At 48.4% G+C, this 25,874-nt stretch overlaps 1 protein-coding gene and 1 long non-coding RNA gene across 5 annotated transcripts in view, besides 4 other annotated features; one reads left to right on the plus strand and one right to left on the minus strand.

Moving 5' to 3' along the window:
* The window catches only part of GP6-AS1 (GP6 antisense RNA 1), a 38,091-nt gene that overhangs the window by 6,473 nt on the left and 5,744 nt on the right, over nt 1-25,874 (plus strand). The window lies entirely within an intron of this gene.
* GP6 (glycoprotein VI platelet) lies at nt 1,006-25,565 on the minus strand. Of its 3 annotated transcripts, none has more exons than NM_016363.5 (8): nt 25,504-25,565; nt 19,807-19,839; nt 19,440-19,697; nt 14,879-15,163; nt 12,519-12,572; nt 5,953-6,012; nt 2,984-3,034; nt 1,006-2,466 (listed from the first exon to the last, which is right to left on the minus strand). In NM_016363.5, the coding sequence occupies exons 1-8, from the start codon at nt 25,535-25,537 to the stop codon at nt 2,222-2,224; spliced, it is 1,020 nt and encodes a 339-aa protein (NP_057447.5). In that variant the 5' UTR covers nt 25,538-25,565; the 3' UTR covers nt 1,006-2,221. The 3 variants fall into 3 exon arrangements, with proteins under 3 accessions (NP_057447.5, NP_001077368.2, NP_001242946.2); NM_001083899.2 differs by having other exon boundaries at nt 2,980-3,034; NM_001256017.2 differs by lacking the exon at nt 12,519-12,572.
* Nucleotides 2,279-2,843: an enhancer, noted in NCBI's record as "H3K4me1 hESC enhancer chr19:55526346-55526910 (GRCh37/hg19 assembly coordinates)". NCBI's record gives its function as "activates a minimal SCP1, AML or CMV promoter by ChIP-STARR-seq in naive H9 embryonic stem cells {active_cell/tissue: H9 hESC(naive)}" and the evidence as "EXISTENCE:reporter gene assay evidence [ECO:0000049][PMID:30033119]".
* Nucleotides 3,323-3,823: an enhancer, noted in NCBI's record as "H3K4me1 hESC enhancer chr19:55527390-55527890 (GRCh37/hg19 assembly coordinates)". NCBI's record gives its function as "activates a minimal SCP1, AML or CMV promoter by ChIP-STARR-seq in naive H9 embryonic stem cells {active_cell/tissue: H9 hESC(naive)}" and the evidence as "EXISTENCE:reporter gene assay evidence [ECO:0000049][PMID:30033119]".
* Nucleotides 3,824-4,324: an enhancer, noted in NCBI's record as "H3K4me1 hESC enhancer chr19:55527891-55528391 (GRCh37/hg19 assembly coordinates)". NCBI's record gives its function as "activates a minimal SCP1, AML or CMV promoter by ChIP-STARR-seq in naive H9 embryonic stem cells {active_cell/tissue: H9 hESC(naive)}" and the evidence as "EXISTENCE:reporter gene assay evidence [ECO:0000049][PMID:30033119]".
* Nucleotides 14,918-15,622: an enhancer, noted in NCBI's record as "H3K4me1 hESC enhancer chr19:55538985-55539689 (GRCh37/hg19 assembly coordinates)". NCBI's record gives its function as "activates a minimal SCP1, AML or CMV promoter by ChIP-STARR-seq in naive and primed H9 embryonic stem cells {active_cell/tissue: H9 hESC(naive and primed)}" and the evidence as "EXISTENCE:reporter gene assay evidence [ECO:0000049][PMID:30033119]".

Raw genomic sequence — 25,874 nt, forward strand, 5'->3', positions numbered from 1 at the left:
TTCAGTATCACATTTTTTTTTTTTGAGACAGAGTCTCACTCTGTCACCCAGGCTGGAGTGCAGTGGCGCAATCTCAGCTCACTGCAGCCTCAGTCTCCTGAGTAGCTGGGACTACAGGCGTGTGCCACCACGACTGGCTAATTTTTGTATTTTTAGTAGAGACAGGGTTTCACCATGTTGGCTGAGCTGGTCTCGATCTCCTGACCTCGTGATCTGCCCACCTCAGCCTCCCGAAGTGCTGGGATTACAGGCATGAGCCACCACGCCCGGCCAGTATCACATGTTTATACCCACAGATATTCGCAGCCGAGAATTTTCGGGTAATATAACTTGCTTCTTTTATTTTTGTTGTTGTTATTGTTCCCCTAAAGTTTATATTTGTTTTTTATTTTTATTTTCTTTTGAGGCAGGGTCTCACTCTGTCACCCAGGTTTGACAGCAGTGGTGCAATCATGGCTCACTGCAGCCTCAACCTCCCCGGGCTCAGGTGATCCCCAACCTCAGCCTCCTGAGTACCTGAGAGTAGGCATGTGGTACCACACCCAGCTAATTTTTTATATTTTTTGTATATGAGACAAGGTTTCACCATGTTGCCCAGGCTGGTCTCGAACTCTTAGGCTCAAGCGATCCCGCCTCAGCCTCCCAAAGTGCTGGGATTACAGGTGTGAGCCACTGTGCCTAGGCTATACTGGTCTTTTTAAAATCTACTTAGTTTACTTGACCTCTAAAATTATTTTTCCTCTGTCTTCTGATAGCATCTCAGTATGATTTTCCACTATGTTAAGACGAGGAATTGACCCATTCTTACATTTGGAGGCTTCTCTAAGCAACTTTCCCATTCCCCCTTCACCCAAGCTGTGTGCTCACTAGCCCTGATTCACAGCCGTCGTCCTGGAACTTCTTGGTGCCATCCTTCTGTCTTTTCCCAAGTGACTCACCTACCTCAACCTCCCAAAGTGCCGGGATTACAGGCGTGAGCCACTGTGGCCAGCCATTCTTTTCCTTTTTTAAAACAATTTTTATCTTCTTTATTTTAAGTAGAGATGGGGTCTCACTATGTTGCCCAGGCTGGTCTTGAACTCCTGGGCTCAAGCGATCCTCCTGCCTTGGCCTCCCACAGTGCTAGGATTACAGACATGATCCACTGCACTTGGCCCAGTGGTACAGTTTTACACTCATTAGATGGTCAAGAAATGCCTAAACGCTATAATAAATATAGAACTTTACCTTGAGAAGACCTAACATTTCCTTCAGAAAGTAAATATGAGAGGGGTGGAGACGGTGCATTATCTTATTTTTATGATTTTAAAAATGTATACAGAATTGTACATATTTATGGGGTGGACAGCAATATTGCAGTACATGTATACAACGTGCTATGATCAAATCAGGGTAATTGACATATTCATCCCTGTATTTTTTGAGACAAAGTCAGGCTTCGTCACCCGAGCTAGAGTGCAGTGGTGTGATCTCAGCTCACTGCAACCTCTGCCTCCCAGGCTCAAGCCATTCTCCCACCTCAGCCCCCTGAGTTGCTGGGAGTATAGGGATGCACCACCACACCTGGCTAATTTTTGTGTTTTTTTGTTTTGTTGGTAGAGATGAGGTTTCACCATGTTGCACAGGCTGATCTTGTTTTCTAATGTGAAGGGAAGCGGGCAACGTGCTAGTTTTACACTAAGGAAAATGAATGACATACCCAAACTGCCTGCAAGACCCGTTCTGAGAGACGAAAGGAGATTTGTTAGACCGCAGTGGGAGATGGAGTGAGGGTGAGAGTTTCTGGGGAAAACCAGACAAGAGCACAGAGGGCCAAAGGGAAGCACGGGAGGATTTTGCACAGAGGATGGAACAGAGTCAACCCTGAGAGCTGGGAACCTTAGAGATCCGTCTGGAGCCCATATTAGAGAGGTTGAAGAAAGAGGCCAGTATGTGGTCCAGCCAGGGTACCATGTCATCCACAGTGTGCAGGGAGGAGGATGGGGTCTCCACAGATTCCTTCCATCCCAAATGGAGGGTGCCCTCAGACAGAGAGGCAGACAGACAGACAGACACTGGCCGAACGGCTCCCTGATGGAACACCAGGAGGAGGCAGCATGGCCTCGTTTCCACAGCTGTAGCCTCTGCCCTCCTGCTTCCACGCTCCACACACGCCAGTCTTTGAGTCGCCTCCCATGCCATGATCCCTCCCTTGGATACGACCGTGCCTGGGGTTCAGCGGTCATGAACATAACCCGCGGCTGTGAACATCCTGTCGGCCTCCATCCTGACCCCCGTTTGATTTCCGGGTCAGCGGGAGGGGCGGGAGGGGCGGAAGCGGCCTCTGCACAGCCCTGCCCCTGTGCCGCAGGCGCTTCCTCCGGCTGTGCCAGTCCTCTGCCAGAAACCCCGCCAGGATTATTAGGATCACAGCCCCGAGGCATATCCGGACCAGGTTGCCCTTGGTGTAGTACTGGCGGGCAGGACCTGGAGGAATGAGGAGAGGCAGGAGCAGGTGAAAGAGCCCACCTCCAGGACCCCCTCCAAGCCACATCTGGGCTTCTCAGAGATCCTATTATTCTCTACTAGCTAGGGGATGCCGCTCACTTTCCTGGAGGGTCCCTCCCTTCCCGAGTAGGGGTCAGGGCCAGATGACCCCAATTCTCTAAGTAGCACCTCTCCCTCCTGTGCTCTCACAGGGCTCTGAGACAACTCCTCCCCAGACACAGATGCTGCCTCGTTATCTGATGCATTGCAAAAGAGAGGACAGTTATAAGGGGTGGGGAAGAGATGGAATCTCTCTTTCTCTGACCCTTTTTAAAATCTCAACCTTCCCACCTGATCTTAATGCCCAATTCTGAACCCCATACGCTGATATTCTGCCTTTACTCTACACACTGGAACCCAAGATCTGAGAGCTGCAGCCCCTGCGTAGACAAAGGAGTTGGCTTTGGTGAAGAGACGGGTGAGAAGGAAGGGGGTCTGGAGAGGATGACTTACTCACCAGCTGGAGAGTCTGACTCCTTTGGACTGGCGGTGATACTCCTAGAAGTCTCTGGGAACCAAACAAAGGCTAAGTGTGAAATGAAACCATATTCCCGCCCCCTGTCACTGTGCCTACTCCGAACACACACACACATGGGGAGGCACAATTCCACAGCATTTAAGAAAAGCATGGGCCGGGCACGGTGCCTCATGCCTATAATCCCAGCACTTTGGGAGGCTGAGGTAGGAGGCTGGCTTGAGTCCAGGAGTTCAAGACCAACCTGAGCAACATAGAAAAACCCTATCTCTACAAAAAAATACAAAAATTAGCCAGGCGTGGTGGCACGTGCCAGTAATCCCAGCTACTCAGTGGAGGCTGAGGCAGGAAGATCACCTGAGCCCTGGGAGGTTGAGGCTGCAGTGAGCCAGGATTGTACCACTGCACTCTAGCCTGGGAAACAGAGCGAGACCCTGTCCAAAAAAAAAAAAGCAAGAACTGTAGAGTCAGGCTGTCCTCCAGATTTGAACCCCAACTCTATCACCTATTAGATGTCAGTTATCTGGCAAGTGACTCAGCATCTGTGAGCCAGTTCCCCATGTGTCCAATAAAATTAACAAGATCCCTTATAGGTTGATGTGAAAGTCAAGATAATAATAATGGTAGAAATATAAAGCACCGTGCTTGACATATGAGCACCTCATACGTGCCAGCTTTTTTTTTTTTTTTTTTGAGACAGAGTCTGGCTCTGTCTCCCAGGCTGGAGTGCAGTGGCCCGATGTCGGCTCACTTCAACCTCCGCCTCCTGGGCTCAAGCGATTCTCCTGCCTCAGCCTCCCGAGTAGCTGGGACTACAGGCGTCCGCCACCACGCCCAGCTAAGTTTTGTATTTTTAGTAGAGATGGGATTTCACCATATTGGCCAGGTTGGTTTTGAACTCCTGACCTTGTGATCCGCCCGCCTAGGCCTCCCAAAGTGCTGGGATTACAGGCGTGAGCCACTGCACCCGGCCTCCAGCTCTCTTATTCCTCAAGTATCTCCTGAGACTCGCCAGGTACTCAGCCATGTGCTGGGCCATGGGAACCCAAATATTAATAAGACATTGTCAGGCCAGGCATGACACTGGCTGAATGCCTGTAATCCCAGCACTTTGGGAGGCCAAGGTGGGCGGATCACCTGAGGTCAAGAGATCGAGACCATCCTGGCCAACATGGTGAAACCCCGTCTTTACTAAAAATACAAAAAATAGCTGGGCATGGTGGCACACACCTGTAGTCCCAGCTACTCAGGAGCCGGAGATTGCAGTGAGCTGAGATCGCAGAGTGAGCCGAAATCACAGATCACAGAGTGAGCAGAGTGAGACTCCGTCTCAAAAACAACAACAAAAAACAAAAAAACCATAAGACATTGTCCATCTGCGGTTCCCAGACTATTGCAGGAGACCAAAAAGTAAAGCGATTTTTTTTTTTTTTTAATACGGAGTCTCACTCTGTTGCCCAGGCTGGAGTGCTGTGGTGTGATCTCAGGTCACTGCAACCTCCAACTCGTGAGTTCAAGCGATTCTCCTGCCTCAGCCTCCCAAGTAGCTGGAATTACAGGTGCCCACCACCACGCCCGGCTAATTTTTGTATTTTCAGTAGAGACGGGGTTTCAGCATGTTGGCCAGGCTGGTCTCCTGACCTCAGGTGATCCACTCACCTTGGCCTCCCAAAGTGCTGGGATTACAGACAAAGCGATAATTTTAATATACTGTAAAAATTGCTGTAATAGGCAGCCCACAAGACACTGAGCGAGAGCAGAGGAAACCATCGATCCAGCCTGGACGGTCAAGGCTTTCTTGAGGAATTGATGCCATGGGGAAATGGAAGAAAAGGCAGAGTGAGTGGGTTGGGTGCAGAGTCAGGAGAGGTTAGGAAGCCTCCAGGAGAGCTTCAAGTGACTGTGTGTGGCTGAGAACAGCATGGGAATGCGTGGAAGGTATGCAGACAAAATTGGAGGGATCAACAGGGGCTGGATATCTAAGCTCACAGAATAGCAAGCTGAGGAATTGGAACTGCATCCTGAGGGTGATTGGGAGGTTCCGAACTGAAGATAGGGAAGGCTTCCATCACAGAACTCCCTGGGATATGCCGGGCGCGGTGGCTCATGCCTCCAATCCCAGCACTTTGGGAGGCCGAGACAGGTGGATCATGAGGTCAGGAGTTCAAGACCAGCCTTCCCAAGATGCTGAAACCCCGTCTCTACTAAAATACAAAAATTAGCCAGGTGTGGTGGCATGCACCTATAATCCCAGCTACTCGGGAGGCTGAGGCAGGAGAATCGCTTGAACCCGGGCAGCAGAGGTTACAGTGAGCCGAGATCGCACCACTGCACTCCAGCCTGGGCGACAGAGCAAGACTCCACCTCAAAAAAATAAAAAATAGAACTACGTGGGATCAGGTGCCTCATGAAAGCCAGAGTCATGTGGGCCCAGTGGAAGTATCTAACCTATTATCAGGGAATCTGTGAAGGTGTTTAGTCTGGAAGGAAATGGAGATTTTCCAGGACAGGCAAGGGGAAAGAGACTGAGGAAAGCGTATCTGCAGAGGCCTGGAGCGGTTAGAAGATGTGCTGTGTCCAGGTGCCTACAGTCTGTGTGCGTCCGAGCATGGGCTCTACCTGGACACAGTGAGGAGCGAGATTAAATACCTGGATCACAGCCGAGTCCAAAGCCTAGGACTTCATCCTGGGAGCAGTGCGTAGGGATGGCGGTCGTCCCGCCACAGCCTTGGCTCCGCCATCTTTGAAATGGCCCCATCACCCAAAACGCTCCTCCTTCTGAACCCCAGAGCTCCACTCTGCACCCATGCTCTAGCCTCACACCAAGGACTTTCTTGGTAAGAGACGGACAGTTCGGTGAAGTGATTAAAAGCCTACAGGCTTAGATAATGGAAGAGAGAGCTCCGTCCTCACACTCCTTTCTGCTGAGCATGAAATGCCTGGTTACTCACCAGTTGTGAAGACTTCGTTTGTGAATGAGACGGTCAGTTCAGCGGTGGCTTCTGAGAATTCTAAGAAAGCAAAACAATGTTAGGTCTTCCCCGTGGTTCCCTATATCCTCTAGATATCTCCATTCCCCTTTTGAGATATCTAGGCTCCCTGAAACCCCTTTCTCTGACACACTGCACAGACACTGAAGACAGACAAATTCGAAAGGTGTAAGACTTATCTTCCATGACCGGCTTAGTAAGAAGCAGATCCGTTCAGCAATTGATAGACACTTGGTTTTTTTTCCACGTTTTGCTGTTATGAATATTGCTGCTGTGAACATTGACGTACAGGTTTTTGTGTGAACATAAGTTTTCTGTTCTCTTGGGTACACACCCAGGGGTGGTGGAATCACTGGGTCATACAGTAACTCTGTGTTTTACTTTTTGAAGAACTACCAGACTTCTTTCTTTTTTTTCTTTTTTTTTTTTTTTTGAGACAGAGTCTCATTCTGTTGCCCAGGCTGGAGTGCAGTGGCGCGATCTCAGCTCACTGCAACCTCCACCTCCTGGGTTCAAGCGATTCTCCTCCCTCAGCCTCCCGAGTAGCTGGGATTACAGGCACCTGCCATCACGCCTGGCCAACTTTTTTTTTTGTACTTTAGTAGAGGCGGGGTTTCACCATGTTGGCCAGGATGGTCTCGATCTCCTGACCTCGTGATCCACCCTCCTTGGCCTCTCAAAGTGCTGGGATTACAGGCTGCGCCTGGCCACAGACTGTTTTTCAAAGCAGCTGCACCATTTTATATTCCCACCAGCAATATAAGAAGGTTCTTCCAAATCCTCACCAATACTTCTTGTCCGTTTGTTTTGTTTTAAAAATCATAGTCATCCTAGTTGGCATGGTGAATTTTATGGTATGTGAATTATATCTCAGTTTGAATAATAAGATGTGGATCCATGTCTTCGTGAGCCTAGAGGAAGAATGAGCTCGTGTTAGCCTCAGAACACGGGATCTCCACCTTCCAACTTAGGCCATTTTCTTTTTTTCTTTTTTTTTTTTTTTTTGAGACAGAGTCTTACTCTGTCGTCCAGGCTGGAGTGCAGTGGTGCAATCTCGGCTCACTGCAAGCTCTGCCTCCCGGGTTCACACCATTATCCTGCCTCAGCCTCCCGAGTAGCTGGGACTACAGGCACCCGCCACCACGCCTGGCTAATTTTTTTGTATTTTCAGTAGAGATGGGGTTTCACCGTGTTAGCCAGGATGGTCTCGATCTCCTGACCTTGTGATCCACCCGCCTCAGCCTCCCAAAGTGCTGGGAATACAGGCGTGAGCCACCGCGCCCGGCCAGGCCATTTTCTTAACCAGGGGCCTCCTGAGGCCACCAAAATATTCCTGAACTGCCTCAGCTGATAAATACGAAGCTCTTGTTGCAGTGGGTACTATCCTGGGAGTCTTTTTATGGTGGAACCAGCTTGGAAAAAACTAGTTTATGCTCAGCTCTCGGTGGCATAATGAGAGTGTGGGTATTATTTGGTCTTTGTTATTTCTCTTCGTGTGAGATGCATTAATAAACCTTTTTTTTTTTTTTCAATTAAAATTTCAGTTCCAGAATCCATGTGCAGGACGTGCAGGTTTGTTACATAGGTAAACGTGTGCCATGGTGGTTTGCTGCACCCATCAACCCATCACCTAGGTATTAAGCCCCACACGCATCAGCTATTTATCCTGATCCTCTCCCTCCCCCAATTCCCCCTACAGGCCCCAGTGTGTGGTGTTCCCCTCCCTGTGTCCATGTGATCTCATTGTTCAGCTGCCACTTACAAGTGAGAACATGCAGTGTTTGGTTTTCAGTTCCTGTGTTAGTTTGCTGAGGATAATGTTTTCCAGCTCCATCCATGTCCCTGCAAAGGACATGATCTCATTCCTTTTTATGGCTGCATAGTATTCCATGGTGTATATGTACTGTATTTGCTTTATCCTTTCTATCATTGATGGGCATTTGGGTTGATTCCTTGTCTTTGCTATTGTGAATAGTGCTGCAATGAACATATGTGTGCATGTATCTTTATAATACAATGATTTATATTCCTTTGGGTATATAACCAGTAATGGGATTGCTGGGTCAAATGGTATTTCTGGCCAGGCGCAGTGGCTCACACATGTAATCCCAGCACTTTGGGAGGCCGAGGTGGGCAGATCACCTGAGGTCAGGAGCTCAAGACCACCCTGGCCAACATGGTGAAACTCCCGTCTCTAGCAAAAATCCAAAAATTAGCCAGGCGTTGTGGCATGCACCTGCAGTCCCAGCTACTCGGGAGGCTGAGGCAGGAGAATCACTTGAACCCTGGAGGCAGAGGCTGCAGTGAGCCGAGATCATGCCCCTGCAATCCAGCCTGGGTGACAGAGTGAGACTCTGTTTAAAAAAAAAAAAAAAAAAAAAAGGTGGCCCTGGTGCGGTGGCTCACGCCTGTAATCCCAGCACTTTGGGAGGCCGAGGCAGGTGGATCACCTGAGGTCAGAAGTTTGAGACCAGCATGACCAACAAGGTAAAACCCCATCTCTACTAAAAGAAAAAAAAAAAAAAAAGCCAGGCATGGTGGCAGGCGCCTGTAGTCCCAGTTACTTAGGAGGCTGAGACAGGATAATTGCTTGAACCTGGGAGGTGGAGGTTGCAGTGAGCCGAGATCGCACCACTGCACTCCAGCATGGGCTATTGAGCAATACTACATCTCAAAAAAAAAAAAAAGGAAAAAGGATTTCTGGTTCTGGGTCTTTGAGGAATCACCACACTGTCTTCCACAATGAACTAATTTACATTCCCAACAGTGTAAAAGCATTCCTATTTCTCCACAGCCTCGCCAGCACCTGTTGTTTCTTGACTTTTGTTGGTTTTTTTTTTTTTTTTTTGAGATGGAGTCTTGCTCTGTCGCCCAGGCTGGAGTGCAGTGGCACAATCTTGGCTCACTGCAACCTCCGCCTCCCGGGTTCACGCCATTCTCCTGCCTCAGCCTCCCGAATAGCTGGGACTACAGGCGCCCGCCACCACGCCCGGCTAATTTTTTGTATTTTTAATAGAGACGGGGTTTCACCGTGTTAGCCAGGATGGTCTCGATCTCCTGACCTTGTGATCTGCCTGCCTCGGCCTCCCAAAGTGCTGGGATTACCGGCGTGAGCCACCGTGCCCGGCGTTTCTTGACTTTTTAATAATCGCCATTTTGACTGGTGTGAGATGGTGTCTAAATGTGGTTTTGATTTGCATTTCTCTAATGATTGGTGATGTTGAGCTTTTTTTTGTATGTTTACTGGCTGCATAAACGTCTTCTTTTGAGAAGTGACTGTTCATGTCCTTTACCCACTTTTTAATGGTTTTTTTTTTCTTGTAAATTTGTTTAACTTCCTTGTAGATTCTGGATATTAGACTTTTGTGAATTGATAGATTGCAAACATTTTCTCCCATTCTGTAGGTTGTCTGTTCACTCTGATGATACTTTCTTTTGCTGAGCAGAAGCTCTTTAGTTTAGTTAGATCCCATTTGTCAGTTTTTGCTTTTGTTACAATTGCTTTTGACGTTTTTGTCATGAAATCTTTGCCCATGCCTGTGTCCTGAATGGTATTACCTAGATTTTCTTCTAGGGTTTTTATAGTTTTCGGGTTTTGCATCCAAGTCTTTCATCCATCTTGAGTTAATTTTTGTACAAGGTGTAAGGAACGGGTCCAGTTTCTATTTTCTGCATATGGCTAGCCAATTCTCCCAGCACCATTTATTAACCCACAGCCAATTTCATACTAAATGGGCATTTCCCTTGAAAACCAGCACAAGACAAGGATGCCCTCTTTCACCACTCCTATTCAACATAGTATTGGAAGTTCTGGCCAGGATAATCAGGCAAGAGAAAGAAATAAAGGATACTCAAATAGGAAGAGAGGAAATCAAACTATCTCTGTTTGCAGATGACATGATCCTATATCTAGAAAACCCCATCATCTCAGCCCAAAAGTTTCTTAAGCTGATAAGCAACTTCAGCAAAGTCTCAGGATACAAAATCAATGTGCAAAAATCACAAGCATTCCTATACACCAACAATAGACAGGCAGAGAGCCAAATCATGAAGGAACTCCCATTCACAATTGCTACAAAGAGAATAAAATACCTAGGAATACAGCTAACAAGGAAAGTGAAGGACATCTTCAAGGAGAACTACAATTCACTGCTCAAGAAAATCAGAGCGGACACAAACAAATGGAAAAACATTCCATGCTCATGGATAGGATGAATCAATATCGTGAAAATGGCCATACTGCCCAAAGTAATTTATAGATTCATTGCTATTCCCATTGAACTATCATTGACATTCCTCACACAATTAGAAAAAACTATAAAATTCATATGGAACCAAAAAAGGGCCCATATAGCCAAGACAATACTAAGCAAAAAGAACAAAGCTGGAGGCCTCAGGCTCAGACTTCAGACTATATTACAAGGTGATAGTAACCAAAACAGCATGGTACTGGTACAAAAACAGACACATAGACCAATGGAACAGAATAGAGATCTCAGAAATAAGACCACACATCTACAACCATCTGATCTTCAACAAACCTGACAAAAACAAGCAATGGGGAAAGGATTCCCTATTTAATACACCTTGTTTTGATTTTGATTTCAACACAGCGTGTGGTATTTGCATGCCATGTGATACAGTTTGAATATGTGTTCCCACCAAATCTCATACTGGATTATGATCCCCAATGTTGGAGGTGGGGGCCTGGTGGGAGGTGTTTGGATCATAGGGGTGGATCCCTCATTGCTTGGTGCTTTCCTTGCAATAGTAAGTGAATTCTCACAAGATCTGGCTATTGCAAAGTGTGGCATGTCCCCCAGTCCCAACTCTCTCTCTCTCTTGCTCCTGCTCCCACCACATGAGACAGCTACCCCCTCTTTGCCTTCTGCCATGACTGTAAGCTTCCTGAGGCCTCCCCAAAAGCAGAAGCCAGCCTTCTGCTTCCTATACGGCCTTCAGAACCATGAACCAATTAAACCTCTTTTCTTATCAATGATCCAGTCTCAGATATTTATAGCAGCACAAAATCGGCCTAATATAGCATGAAATATTGCTCAGCAATCAAAAGGAACACATCATTGATACATACAGCAGCTTGGATGGGCCTCAGGGGCATTGCACTGAGTGACAAAAGGATATCTCAAACGGTTGCATACTGGATGATCCCATTTACATCAGATTCTAGAAATGGAAGATTATAGAGATGGAGAACAAATTAATGGATACCAGGAGTTAGGGATGGCAAGGGAAGGAGAAGGGTGTAGGTGTGAATATAAAAGGGTAGCCCAAGGGAGGCCCTTGTGAGACGGAAGAGTTCTGTACAGTGACTGCGGTGATGGTGACGCGAATCTACAACTGTGACAAATTGGCATAGAACTAGACACCTACTTTATGCCAATGTCAAATTCCTGGTTTTTATGTTGTACTCTAATTACGTAAGATGTAACCATTAGAGGAAACTGGAAAAAGAGCACATGGGATTCTTCTGTTCTATCATTGTAGACTTCCTGTGACTCTAGAACCATTTCAAAAGAGAAAGTTCAAAAATTCAGTCAGAAGCACACGCACACATATGCACGCATGCACACACACACATATGCACGCATGCACACACATATGCACGCACACACACATATGCACGCACACACGCACATGCACGCACACACACATATGCACGCACACAGTATGTGACCATCTTCCATGTCCCTGCCCACTAGGCATAATAGCCCTCACTCTGCCCTCAACCCCGCAAATCTCATCCTTATCAACCTCGGCTCTTTCCAGCATGTTTCTCCTGCCTTGGTGCTTCACTCTGAGACACAGGGAATGTTAGACACGCCCAGCCTCCAGCCTAGCGTATGATATTCTTAAAGTGCAGGCCGTAGTCTGGTACACCGTATTCAGCTGAGATGTTTGTGAAAGTGGAGGGGATAACACGCCTCACACAAAACTTACCGCAGTGGTTCTCAAAGCAGCATTCTGGAGCCATAGCATCAGCATCACCTGGGAACTTACTAGGAATGAAAATGACTGGATTCACCCCAGACCTACTGAAGCAGAAGCCCTGGGGGCTCAGAAATCTATTCTTTAAGCCTCCAGGTGATTCTTATGCTCATGGAAGTTTGAGAACCGCTGATCAATGCATTCAGTGACTCAGAAACAGAGTCCCGGACTCTACAGGTTTGTTGGTTGGTTGGTTGGTTGGTTGGTTGGTTAGTTTGTTTGTTTTTGTCACCCATATTCAACCAGCTGGACTCCACAGTATAGCAAGCCACTCCGATTATTCTTCTGCATGTTATATGTGATAAACCATCCACCTAGAGTAGGATTGGGGGCAGCATCTTAACATCTAACTACTTAGGACACCCACCCTGTTTACAGGCAGAAATAAAGGATTTTTAAAACAAAGCAAATCTGTGAAAGAACCAACTGAATTAAATCGAGAAGTCTAGGCAGAGAGGAGAGAGAGAAGGGGTCCGTGTACCTCATACGCTGTGCACCAGAATGGACCCTGCAGAACCTACCTGCTACCGGGGAAGGTGGTTCTGTTGGTAACCGGCTGGGGGTCACAGAGGTTCCTGGGAAATCAGAAAATGAGATAAATCTGTGCTCTGTCGCTGTGGGTCCTGAACAAATAACGAAACATCTCCGTGACTGAGTTTCCTCACCGGAAAAATGAGCCTAAAGTAGCTTACATCACTGGACTGTTGTGGATGTTAATAAGCATTTGAGCTGGGTGCAGTGCCTCATGCCTGTAATCCCAGCACTTTGGGAGGCTGAGGAGGGCAGATCACTTGAGGTCAGGAGTTCAAGCCCAGCCTGGCCAGTATGGTGAAACCCCGTCTCCACTAAAAATACAAAAATTAGCCAGGCGTGGTGGTGTGCACCTGTAATCCCAGCTGCTCGGGAGGCTGAGGCAGGAGAATCACTTGAACCTAGGAGGCAGAGGTTGCAGTGATCTGAGATCGCACCACTGCACTCCAGCCTGGGTGACGCAGTAAGACTCCATCTGAAAAAAAAAGGCTTAGCCAGGCGTGGTGGCTCACACCTGTAATCCCAGCACTTTGAGAGGCCGAGGCAGGCAGATCACCTGAGGTCAAGAGTTCAAGACCAGCCTGGCCAACATGGTGAAACCCTGTCTCTACGAAAAATACAAAAATTAGCTGGGCATGATGGCAGGTGCCTGTAATCCCATCTACTCAGGAGGCTGAGGCAGGAGAATCGCTTAAACCCAGGAGGTGGAGGTTGCAGTGAACTGAGATCACTCCACTGCACTCCAGCCTGGGTGACAAAGTGAGACTCCCCCCAAAAAAAAAAAAAAAAAAAAAAGCAGCAGCATTTGTAAAGCACACCTGGCACATTCTGGGCTATTAACAAGGAAATGCATGCAGCTCCCGTCCACCTTTTTCAACCTCAGTTCTATTTCTTCTGGATTCCTGTGTCCTACCCCTCACTGTGACCCTGGGGGCAAAACAGATTTTTCTACCAAAAACTAAATGATGTATTTTGTTTGATTTAATATGACATTGTTAAATGTACTGATCAGTGGCGTTGGGTATGTTCACATTGTGGTACAATATGTTGACCTCTAGAACTTATTTTTCTTGCAAAACTGAAATTCTGTGCCCATTAAACACTAATTCCTTCTCTCTCCTCTTTCTGGCCCTTAACAACCACCATTGTACTTTGTGTTTCTACAGTGTTGACATTAGATACCTCCTTTGACTAGAATCATACAGTAGTTGTCCTTTTGTGACTGACTTAGCATAATGTCCTCAAGGTATATCCATGTTGTAGTATGTGTCAGAATTTCCTTCTTTTTTAAGGCTGCATAATATTCCATTGCATGTATATAACCACATTATGAGGTATGCTGCTCTTTTTTGAAAGAAACCCCCTTTAAGAATGGTAGTCAAGTCCGACGCGGTGGCTCACGCCTGTAATCCCAGCACTTTGGGAGGCCGAGGCGGGCAGATCATGAGGTCAGTTCAAGACCAGCCTGACCAACATAGTGAAACCCCGTCTCTACTAAAAATACAAAAATTGGCCGGGCATGGTGGCAGGCACCTGTAATTCCAGCTACTCGAGAGGCTGAGGCAGCAGAATCGCTTGAACCCGGAAGGCGGAGGTTGCAGTGAGCTGAGATCGCGCCACTGCACTCCAGCCTGGGTGACAGAGTGAGACTTCGTCAAAAAAAAAAAAAAGAAACCTCCATTCTCCCAGCTGCCTGTAGCCCAGGGCTTCCTGCCCTCCCACTTCCTTCCCACCTCTGGCCCCGCCCCTGCAGCCCAGGGCTTCCTGCCCTCCCACTTCCTTCCCACCTACGGCCCCGCCCCTGCAGCCCAGGGCTTCCTGCCCTCCCACTTCCTTCCCACCTACGGCCCCGCCCCTGCAGCCCAGGGCTTCCTGCCCTCCCACTTCCTTCCCACCTACGGCCCCGCCCCTGCAGCCCAGGGCTTCCTGCCCTCCCACTTCCTTCCCACCTACGGCCCCGCCCCTGCAGCCCAGGGCTTCCTGCCCTCCCACTTCCTTCCCACCTACGGCCCCGCCCCTGCAGCCCAGGGCTTCCTGCCCTCCCACTTCCTTCCCACCTCTGGCGCCGCCCCTGCAGCCCAGGGCTTCCTGCCCTCCCACTTCTTTCCCACCTATGGCCGCGCCCCTACAGCCCAGGGCTTCCTGCCCTCCCACTTCCTTCCCACCTACGGCCCCGCCCCTGCAGCCCAGGGCTTCCTGCCCTCCCACTTCCTTCCCACCTACGGCCCCGCCCCTGCAGCCCAGGGCTTCCTGCCCTCCCACTTCCTTCCCACTTATGGCCCCTCCCTTGGAATGGCCATCAGGACCTATAAAGGCTGAGGAAGAAAGGTTTGGTCTGCACTACCCCTACCTGTGACCACAAGCTCCAGGGGGTCGCTGGGGGCTGACCACAGGTATGGGTCCCTGCTGGAGAAGCTGTAGCATCGGTAGGTTCCGCTGTGGGCGGCGGTCACCGTGATGATGGGAAAACTAGCCCTGTACCATCTCTCGGGATTCTTGTAGGGCGCAGGGTCCCCTTCCTTGTACAGAGCAAATTGGTCAAAGCCATACCGAGTCTGACACTGTAGGGTTACGTCCCCTCCTGACGACACCGCCGGGCCGGGCTGGGCTGAGAGCGAGGGTTTGGCAAAAACTCCTGGGAGAAAAAGAAAGTCTGATGTTGAAGGCAGGAGCCAGCATCTCAGCTGAGACTGGGGAGGTCCCCACACCTGCCTAAGAGCTGGGGAGCTTTTTGGCTGTATCCCTCCCAGAGAGCGCACTCCCCCACCCAAGCTCACAGAGAGGTCGAGTCACCCAGTGGTTGAGGAAGGAGGCTGTGCTCACGTCCTAGTGCTTGGGTGCAAATCCTAGTTCTGCCTTCAGGGGCCTGGTGGCCCTGGAGACAAATCTCCCTCTGTATCTGAGCCTCACTGCCTTGTTCTGTTAAAATGGGGATGACTGAATGAGACAGTACACAGTAATTTGCAGAGTGCCTGTTGCCTAGCAAGCGCTGGAGTAAGTAAATAGCTTAAGCTTATACTGTGCTGTAAGCTTGTATTGCCACATACAATTGTTACGTTGTAAATGTGGCTGACAGTGCTAGCTTCCGGGTGCCTTCCAAACTTATGATGTATATCAGTTCAGTGAATCCTCAGAGACCTATGGAGTCCTCACTCTTAATGTCCCTATTTTATAAATGAAACTAAGGCACATGGCATTAAATAATTTGTCCAACTCTAGGTAACAATACTGCAGTGTACAGCTGAAATTTGCTAAGAGGGTAGATTATAAGTATTCTCACACACAAAAAAGTTAACTGTGTCAGGTGATGTATGTTAATTAGCTTGCTAGTAGTAACTGTCTCACAGTGGATTCGTATATCAAAACATCAACTTGTACACCTTGGATATATTCCATTTTTGTTTTTCAATTATACCTCAACAAAGCTGGACATATTTTAATTTAAAAATAAATAAAAAACTTGTCCAAGATCATAAGTGGCAGAGTTGAAATCTGCACTCACAGAGTTTGATTCCAGGGTCTCCGCTCCTAAACACGAACCTACACTACTCTGATGTGAGGTTGTTGTCATAGACCGGTGTGGTGATGCATGCCTGCACACAGGAGTCAGAAAAACAAAGGTTGAGGCTGGGTGCGGCGGCTCACACCGGTCATCCCAGCACTTTGGGAGGCCAAGGTGGGAGGATCGCTTGAGCCCAGGAAGGCGAGGCTGCAGTGAGCTATGATCACTGTACACTAGCCTGGGTGACAGAGTGAGACCTTGTCTCAAAAAAAGACAGAGAGAGAAAGCAAAAGAAAGGAAGTAAGGAAGATAAAAATATAAGCTGCCTAATAATTATGGCATTCACTCAACAAGAAGAAAAAGAAAGAAAGAGGAAGGAAGGGAGGGAGGGAGGAAGGAAGGAAGGAAATATATAAGCTGCCTGATAACTGTAACATTCACTCAGCAATATTTTCTCTTAATTTTCACTTAAGCAACTATTATGTGTCTGTCTGTATTCTTTTTTTGTTGTTTCATTTGTTTTGTTTTGTTTTGTTTTGTTTTGAGACGGAGTCTCGCTCTGTCACCCAGGCTGGAGTGCAATGGCATATATATATATATATATATATATATATATATATATATATATATATATATATATATATATTTTTTTTTTTTTTTTTTTTTTTTTTTTTTTTGGGAAACAGAATCTCACTCTGTTGCCCAGGCTGGAGTGCAGTGGCATGATCCCAGCTCACTGCAACCTCCACCTCCTGGGTTCAAGCGATTCTCCTGCCTCAGCCTCCCGAGTAGCTGGGACTACAGGCATGCACCACCATGCCCAGTTAATTTTGTATGTTTAGTAGAGACAGGGTTTCACCATGTTAGCCAGGCTGATCTCGAACTCCTGACCTCAGGTGATCCGTCCACCTCGGCCTCCCAAAGTGCTGGCATTACAGGCGTGAGCCACCGTGCCCGACCAGGAATTAAAAATAGACAACCACCACCAAGATAAAAAAAGGTATACTTCACATACCAGATAGTGAGGAGGGCCACTTTGACTAGGGTGGTGGGGGATATACTTAGCGAGAAGAGAGTATTTGAGTCTGACCCTGAAAGAAGTAATGAGGCAGCCAGGCTGGTCCATTCTAGTAGCAGAGAGGAGGCCAGTGATGCTGTGGAGGGGAGTGAGGCAGGGAAGAGGGGAGGGAGGCAGGATTTATAACGCGGAATAGACCACAGTGCAGCTGGCCAGGAATTAGGGTGGCGTGAGTGAGGCACTCTCCTGGGATGTAAAATTTAATTATTCCCAAACAATTAACATATTTGAAAAAATTATTGAAAATTTGAAGAGTAGGTCGTTAAAACTCACATTATTCTGTTTGAATACTTTATTCCCCTGAAAGATTTATTAGAATTTTACATTCTAGGCTTTTGTGGATGCAAGCGCATCAGTGCTATTTCCAAAACCTACTTCTAGAAAATAACCATTTAAAAGTGCACTAACTGGGTGCACCTATAGTCCCAGCTACTAGGGAGGACCACTTGAGCCCAGGGATTTGAGGCTAAAGTGAGCTATGATCATGCCTGTGAATACAGCGAGTGTACTAAAGCCTGGGCAACATAGTAAGACCTCTTCTCTTTTTTTTTTTTTCCCAAGACGGAGTCTTGCTCTGTCGCCCAGGCTGGACTGCAGTGGTGCAATCTCGGCTCACCGCCTCCCAGGTTTAAGCGATTCTCCTGCCTCAGCCTCCGGAGTAGCTGGGATTACAGGAGTGCGCCACCGCGCCCAGCTAATTATTATTATTTTTTTTAGTAGAGACGGGGTTTCACCATGTTGGCCAGGCTGGTCTCAAACTCCTGACCTTAAGTGATCCACCCACCTCAGCCTCCCAAAGTACTGGGATTACAGGCGTGAGCCGCCGCGCCCGGCCCAACCTCTTCTCTTAAAAAAAATAAATAAATAAGAAAAGAAATTAGAATATTTGCACCAATCAAGAGTCTAAGGAGACATAAATACTAAATGCACTGTGGGGCCCTGGACGGGGTCTGGGAACAGAAATAGGATATTAGTGGAAAGACTGGTGAAATTCAAATAGCCTGGAGTTTACTTGATATAATATAGTTGTGTCTATGGTTAGTTTTTTGTTTGTTTTTTGATACAGGGTCTCACTCTGTCACCCAGGCTGGAGTGCAGTGGCGTGATCACAGCTCCCTGCAGCCTCGGCCTCCCTGGCTCAAGCGATCCTCCTGCCTCAGCCTCCTGAGTAGCTGGGACTATAGGTGTATGCCACCATGCCCCACTAATTTTTAATTTTGTTTAAAGATGAGGTCTCACTATGTTGCCCAGGCTGGTCTTGAACTCCTGAGCTCAAGCAATCCTCCCGCCTCAGCCTCCCAAAGTGCTGGGATTACAGGTGTAAACCACTGGGACCAGTGCTACGTTTATTTTTTGGTTGTAACAAATGTAAGATGTTAACATGAGGGGATCCTGGGTGAAATATTTCCATTAATATTATCTTTGGAACTTTTCTGTCAGTCTAAAAATTACTCCAAAACAAAGTTTTAAAAAGAATCCCGAGCCAAGCACGGTGGCCCGTGACCGTAGTCCCTGCTACTCATGAGGCTGAGGCAGGAGGATTGCTCAAGGCAAGGAGCTCCAGGCTGCAGTGAGCTATGACTGCTCCTATGAACAGCCACTGCACTCCGGCCTGGGCAGTGTAGCAAGACCCCATCGCTAATTTTTTTAAGTGCATTAAAACACAGATAAAGGGTTGCCTGTTTTTCGTTTTGGCACAGACTCTGGTATGACTTGACACAGGCACTGGCTGATTCTGCCTTTATTTGAAATTCTGGTTTTTTTCATTGTGGATGTTTTTGCAATTTATTTTGATTTTTTTAAAAATTGCATGAAAATGTTATTCACAGCCAGATGCAGTGGCTCACGCCTGAAATCCCAACACTTTGGGAAGCCAAGGTGGAAGGATAGCTTGAGCCCACAGGAGTTCGAGACCAGCCTGAGCAACATAGCGAGACCCTATCTCTCTCTCTTTTGTATTTTAATGCCTTTTGTGAAAACTGTCAAGAGACCCCATCTCTATAAAAACATAAAAAATGAGCTGGGCGTGGTGGTGCACACCTGTAATCCTAGCTACTTGGAGGGCTGAGGCGGGAGAATCGCTTGAGCCCTGGAGGTGGAGGCTGCAGTGAGCCAAGATCGCGCCACTGCTCTCCACCCTGGGTGACGCAGCAAGACCCTGTGTCCAAAAAACAAAATATTATTCACATTGATCCATAAATGTCGTGGCACCACCACCCGCTAGGCCAGTGCCTCGTTTGCCTCACCCTAATCCCTGCCCTCAATGTCCCCCGTATTTGTGTCCTGAACGGAGGACCACGCAGTCCCAGGCTCCGATCCCCCTTCCTTTACCCGTGGCAACGAGCTCCAGCTGGTCGCTGGGCAGGGACCAGAGGCTTCCGTTCTGGTAGGAGCAGCGGTAGCGTCCAGCCAGACTTCTCTTCATGGCCGGGATGAAGAGGACTGCCTGATCCTGGTACCTGCTGGAACTCAGCTTCTCCAGGCGGTACAGGTCCACGCCCGGAGGTCCCTGGCACCGGAGGGTCACTGGCTTCTCCAGGGGCACCAGGGAGCTGGGCAGAGCCTGGAGGGAGGGCTTGGGGAGCGGTCCTGGAAGAGGAGCAGGGCTGGGTCAGCCTCCCCGCAGACCCCGCCTGGACCCCGCTGCTCCCGCGCTGGCGGATCCCGCAGGAGGGAAGGGGTCTGGGGAAGGACTCACCACTCTGCGCTGGCACACGCCCCAGACACAGCCCTGAGGAAAGAAGAAAGGGACCAGATGCCAGGACTCGCTTTTATGGACATTCCTGCCTGCTGGGCGCGGTGATAAGACATTTGCATGCATATGCTTTACTCTGTCCTAATAATTTCTTCAAAAGACACACAGGAATGTAATTTAAGTGAGAGAAACCGGTCAGAAAAAGCCACATAGTTTATGAGGTCATTTACATGAAATATCCAGAATAGGTAAATCTATAGGAGATGGAGAAGAAAGCAGATCCATGGCTGGGGGTGGTGGGAGAGGAGGGCAAGGCATGGTGGCGTACTGCTCTCTGTGGACTTGTTCGTGTTAGACACGGTGGGCTCGTTCGTGTTAGACACGGTGGACTCGTTCGTGTTAGACACGGTGGGCTCGTTCGTGTTAGACACGGTGGGCTCGTTCGTGTTAGACACGGTGGACTCGTTCGTGTTGTGTTAGACACGGTGGACTCGTTCGTGTTAGACGCGGTGGACTCGTTCGTGTTAGACACGGTGGACTCGTTCGTGTTGTGTTAGACACGGTGGACTCGTTCGTGTTGTGTTAGACACGGTGGACTCGTTCGTGTTAGACACGGTGGGTTCGTTCGTGTTAGACACGGTGGGTTCGTTCGTGTTAGACGCGGTGGGTTCGTTCGTGTTAGACGCGGTGGACTCCTTCGTGTTGTGTTAGACACGGTGGACTCGTTCGTGTTAGACACGGTGGACTCGTTCGTGTTAGACACGGTGGACTCGTTCGTGTTAGACACGGTGGACTCGTTCGTGTTGTGTTAGACACGGTGGACTCGTTCGTGTTGTGTTAGACACGGTGGGCTCGTTCGTGTTGTGTTAGACACGGTGGACTCGTTCGTGTTGTGTTAGACACGGTGGGCTCGTTCGTGTTAGACGCGGTGGGCTCGTTCGTGTTAGACGCGGTGGGCTCGTTCGTGTTGTGTTAGACACGGTGGGCTCGTTCGTGTTGTGTTAGACACGGTGGGCTCGTTTGTGTTGTGTTAGACACGGTGGGCTCGTTCGTGTTAGACATTGCCCATTGACTTCCTCAGTGGATGTGAGGAATGGGACCTGAGACATTGCTGTCCCTTCGTTTCCTCCCTTCAGTCTCCCAATATTAAATAATATCCAAGTACATTACAATAGTATGCAATTGTATAGACAAGTATTGTAAATACTATTGCATATTGTATATTATTGTATTTTATTGTCTATGTAATATATGCGATAAAACCCCACACTAATGGGATGCATTGGGCTCCAAGGATGGAGCAGGATGGAGCCTCAGCGTGTAAGTCAGGACGTCTCAGCATGTGCTGGCCATGGGTTTCCCGGTATTTACAACATTTGCTTGAATCAGTATTCCATGATTACATGATAGGATATAATATATATAATAATCGTTTCAAATAGCCTGAAGGAGGATGGGGAAAGTTCCCAACACAGAAAGGATGCATGTTTGAGAAGATGGGTGTGCTACTTACCCTGATCTGATTACTATATGTATATACACATATAGTGCATATATGTAAACCTACATCTATACATACATGTGTATGTACATATACACGTGTGTACATACACACGTGTATATGTATGTATATGTATATATGTATGCATGTGTGTGTGTGTGTGTGTGTGTGTGTATACATATGTATACAAATACATGTACATAAGCGATCCCCTCCTGGAATTGCTTGAGCCCAGGAGGTCAAGTCTGCTGTGAGGTAAGATTGCACCACTGGCCGGGCACGGTGGCTCATGCCTATAATCCCAGCACTTTGGGAGGCCAGGGTGGGCGGATCACAAGGTCAGGAGTTCAAGACCAGCCTGGTCAACATGGTGAAACACCATCTCTACTAAAAATACCAGAAATTAGCTGGGCATGGTGGCACGTGCCTGTAATCCTAGCTACTGGGGAGGCTGAGTCAGGAGAATCACTTGAACCCGGGAGGCGGAGGTTGCAGTGAGCCAAGATCACGCCACTACACTCCAGCCTGGGCAACAGAGCAAGACTCCATCTCGAGGAAAAAAAAAAATGATATTGCCCCATTGCACTCCAGACTGACAACAGAGCAAGACCCTGTCTCAGAAAACGAAGAGGAGGAGGAAAAAAAAAGTACTAATTATCTGAAATTCCAATTTAACCAGGCATCCAGTGTTTTATCTGGTAACCCTCATTCTTACACACACACACACACACACACACACACAAAGGCGGGATAGTTGTCATTCCCACTGTAAACATAAGGAAACTGGGCAGAGGCCAAGCAACCTTGTGTAGCTCACATAGCAAGAAGTGGGTGAACCCAGCTCATGTCTTGACTCTGAGCTCAGAGAGTGACAACTTGTCACCAGCGCCCCCATAGCCACCACCCTTTGTCCACCCCAGGCTCCCTCTGCACCCCAACGCAAGCTCCGGCCGCTTCTCTGTCCCCCTCCTCCTGCCGCATCACAGCCCACCTCAGCCTCTTTGTAGGTTTCCATGCGACGCTGTACCATGGCTGGGAGTCTTCCAGGCGCCGTGCTGAGCGCCTTCTGTGCATGGACTCCAAGTCGCCATAATCGTACGGGTTACCCACCATTATCAGTCCCCTCTTATACATCAGGCTAGTGAGACAGTATCTTATCCACAGTCCTACAGCTGGCAGGAGTAGATTCAAACCCTAGCAGCACCAATTAGTGGTAAAGAGTGTGGACTTGGGAACTTACAGGAGTAGAGAGCACAGTGGTGGTTACCGGGGCGGTGGGGTAAGGTTTGGGGAGATGTTGGTCAGAGGAGGACAGTTTCAGTTGGACAAGAGGAGTATGTCTTGGAGATCTACTGCACATCATGGTGACTGTAGTTAATAACAACATATTGTACACTTGCATATCACCGATAGTAGATTTTAAATGTTCTCACCGGCCGGGCGCGCTGGCTCACACCTGTAATCCCATTTTGGGAGGCCAAGGTGGGCGGATCACCTGAAGTCAGGAGTTCGAGAGCAGCCTGACCAACATGGTGAAACCCTGTCTCTACTAAAAATACAAAAATTAGCGGGGCGTAGTGGCAGGAGCCTGTAATCCCAGCTACTTGGGAGGCTGAGGCAGGAGAATCGCTTGAACCTGGGAGGTGGAGGTTGCAGTGAGCCAACGTCATGCCACTGCGCTCCAGTCTGGGCAACAGAGTGAGACTCCATGTCAAAAAATAAAAATAAATAAAAATAAATGAGCGTGGAATACTACTCAGCCATTAAAAGGAGTGAAATAATGTCTTTTGGCCAGGCACAGTGGCTCACATCTGTAATGCCAGCACTCTGGGAGGCCGAGGTGGGTGGATCACGAGGTCAAGAGATCAAGACCATCCTGCCCAACATGGTGAAACCCCATCTCTACTAAAAATACAAAAATTAGCCGGGCATGGTGGCGGGTGCCTGTAGTCCCAGCTACTCGGGAGGCTGAGGCAGGAGAATCACTTAAACCCGGGAGGTGGAGTTTGCAGTAAGCCGAGATCACACCACTGCACTCCAGCCTTGGTGAGAGAGCGAGATTCCGTCTTTAAAAAAAAAAAAAAAAAGTCTTTTGCAGCAACTTGGATGGAGCTGGAAGGCATTATTCTAAGTAAAGTAATACAGGAGTGGAAAACAAAAATCTGTATATTCTCACTTATAAGTGAGAGCTAAGCTGTGGGTATGCAAAGGCATGCAGAGTGATGTAATGGACTTCAGAGACTCAGAAGGGAAGGGCAGAAGTGGGGCAGGGATGAAAAACTACACATTAGGTACAAGGTACACTAGTCAGGTGACAGGTGCACTAAAATCTCAGAATTCACCAGAATATAATTCATCCATGTAACCAAGAACCACTTGTATCCCAAAAGCTACTGAAGCAACAAGCCAGATGCAGTAACCTGTACAGGCCACACCTGTAACCCCAACACTTTGGGAGGCCGAGGTGGGTGGATCGCTTGAGCCCAGGAGTTCAAGACCAGCCTGGGCAACATAGCGGACCCCCGTAACTAAAAAAATTACAAAAACAAGCCAGGCATGATGGTGTACAACTGTAGTTCCAGATACTCAGGAGGCTGATGGGGAGGCACTGGTTGAGCCTGGGAGGTTGAGGCTGCAGTGAGCCATGATCATGCCACTGCCCTCCTGCCTGGGTGACAGAAGTGAGGCCCTATCTCAAATAAAATTAAATAAATAAAAGTTAAAACAGGCTGGGTGCGGTGGCTCACGCCTGTAATCCCAGCACTTTGGGAGGCCGAGGCGGGTGGAACCTGAAGTAAGGAGCTTGAGACCAGCCTGGCCAACATGGTGAAACCCCGCCCCTACTAAAAATACAATAATTAGCCAGACCTGGTGGCAGATGCCTGTAATCCCAACTATTCGGGAGGCTGAGGCAGGAGAATCACTTGGACCCGGGAGGCAGAGTTTGCAGTGAGCTGAGATCATGCCATTGCATTCCAGCCTGAGCGACCGACTGAGCGAGACTCCATCTCAAAAAACAAACAAAAAGAAAAAAAGAATACATCCATGGATGGATAATGAATGAGAGGTTGTTTATATTCACAGTTAACCCTCTCATCTCCAGTAATGCAACCATCTTCTTCCTGCTTAGCCTTTTGGAGATGCTGTCCCTTTAGTGGTCAAATTCTGAAGAAATCAGGAAATAATGCATTCGACATGCCCAGCACAAGTGAAGATCAGGCAGCAGAAATGCATTCGACCTGCCACCCATCCATCAGGAGACTATTTACTCCACTACTGTAGGGGATACTGACAAATTAAATCCATACCTAGTCCAGATATCAATTCCACAATTTTTTTTTTTTTTTTTTTGAGACGGAGTTTCGCTCTTGTTGCCCAGGCCAGAGTGCAATGGTGTGATCTTGGCTCACCGCAACCTCCACCTCCCAGGTTCAAGCGATTCTCCTGCCTTAGCCTCCAGAGTAGCTGGGATTACAGGCATGTGCCACCACACCCGGCTAATTTTGTATTTTTAGTAGAGATGGGGTTTCTCCATGTTGGTCAGGCTGGTCTCAAACTCCCGACCTCAGATGGCCCACCCGCCTCGGCCTCCCAAAGTGTGTAAGCCATGGCACTCAGCCTTTTTTTTTTTTTTTTTTTTTTTTTTTGAGATGGAGGCTCTCTCTGTTGCCCAGGCTGGAGTGCAATGCCTGACCTCAGCTCACTGCAACTTCTGCCTCCCAGTTTCAAGCAATTCTCCCACCTCAGCCTCCCACGTAGCTGGGATTACAAGCACCCGCCATCACGCCCGGCTAATTTTTGTAGAGATGGGGTTTCACCATGTTGACCAGGCTGGTCTTGAACTCCTGACCTCAGGTGATCCACCCACCTCGGCCTCCCAAGGTTGAGATTACAGGCGTGAGCCACTGTGCCTGGCCCACATTTTTTAAAAAAGGGGCAACTGCAGTGTAGTAGAACAAAGTTGTGACCAATGCTAGGATACTCTGTTCATTTCCTGACCCAGCCATGAATACACTGGAATAACTCATGCAAAATGCCAGCTCGCTGGCCCCCCGTTTCCCCACCCAACAAATGAAGGGGCTCTTACAGGTTCCTTTTTGTCCTGAAATTCATCACCAATGCAAATTTCTTAAAAATCCTTTGTCTGGCAGTCCATGCCTGTCCTTCAGCATTTCCCAGATCTGACCCTCAGGACTCACCAAGACAGAAGAGGGCGGTCGGGGATGGAGACATGGTTCCTCAGCCCTGTCCTGAGCTCTGTGGCCAGGGAGGGAAGTGGTGGGAGCCTGGGGCACAGGCTCAGGATGTGATGAGGATGAAGAATGCTCTCCTCCCTTCCTCCACCAGCCCCGGCCTTTCCTAATTGAGACTCATCGAGCCGTAGCCGGCTCCTCAGTACAGTGACTTGCACACAAGCTCCAAGGAGCCGCGCTTATCTCCTCTGGCCAGCCTGGCGTTGCACCGTTTGTCCGCCTGCTGGGGCCTGGTCTGTGTTCCCGTGCTCCCATAAACTCCCTGATGTCACTAGGAAAATACGCATCAAAACCACAGTGAGATATGACTTCACACC

The sequence above is a fragment of the Homo sapiens genome, chromosome 19 (assembly GCF_000001405.40).
Source record: "Homo sapiens chromosome 19, GRCh38.p14 Primary Assembly".
Classification (NCBI taxonomy): domain Eukaryota; kingdom Metazoa; phylum Chordata; class Mammalia; order Primates; family Hominidae; genus Homo; species Homo sapiens.

What these genes read in the sequence shown, in the direction of transcription:
- GP6 (NM_001083899.2), bottom strand. Translation starts at nt 25,537, where the DNA reads ATGTCTCCATCCCCGACCGCCCTCTTCTGTCTTG. An exon ending in ACCACCTTCCCCGGTAGCAG is followed by an intron (nt 6,013 to 12,518) that starts GTAGGTTCTGCA and finishes TTGCTTTCTTAG; the next exon opens with AATTCTCAGAAGCCACCGCT. An exon ending in AAACGAAGTCTTCACAACTG is followed by an intron (nt 3,035 to 5,952) that starts GTGAGTAACCAG and finishes TTTGGTTCCCAG; the next exon opens with AGACTTCTAGGAGTATCACC.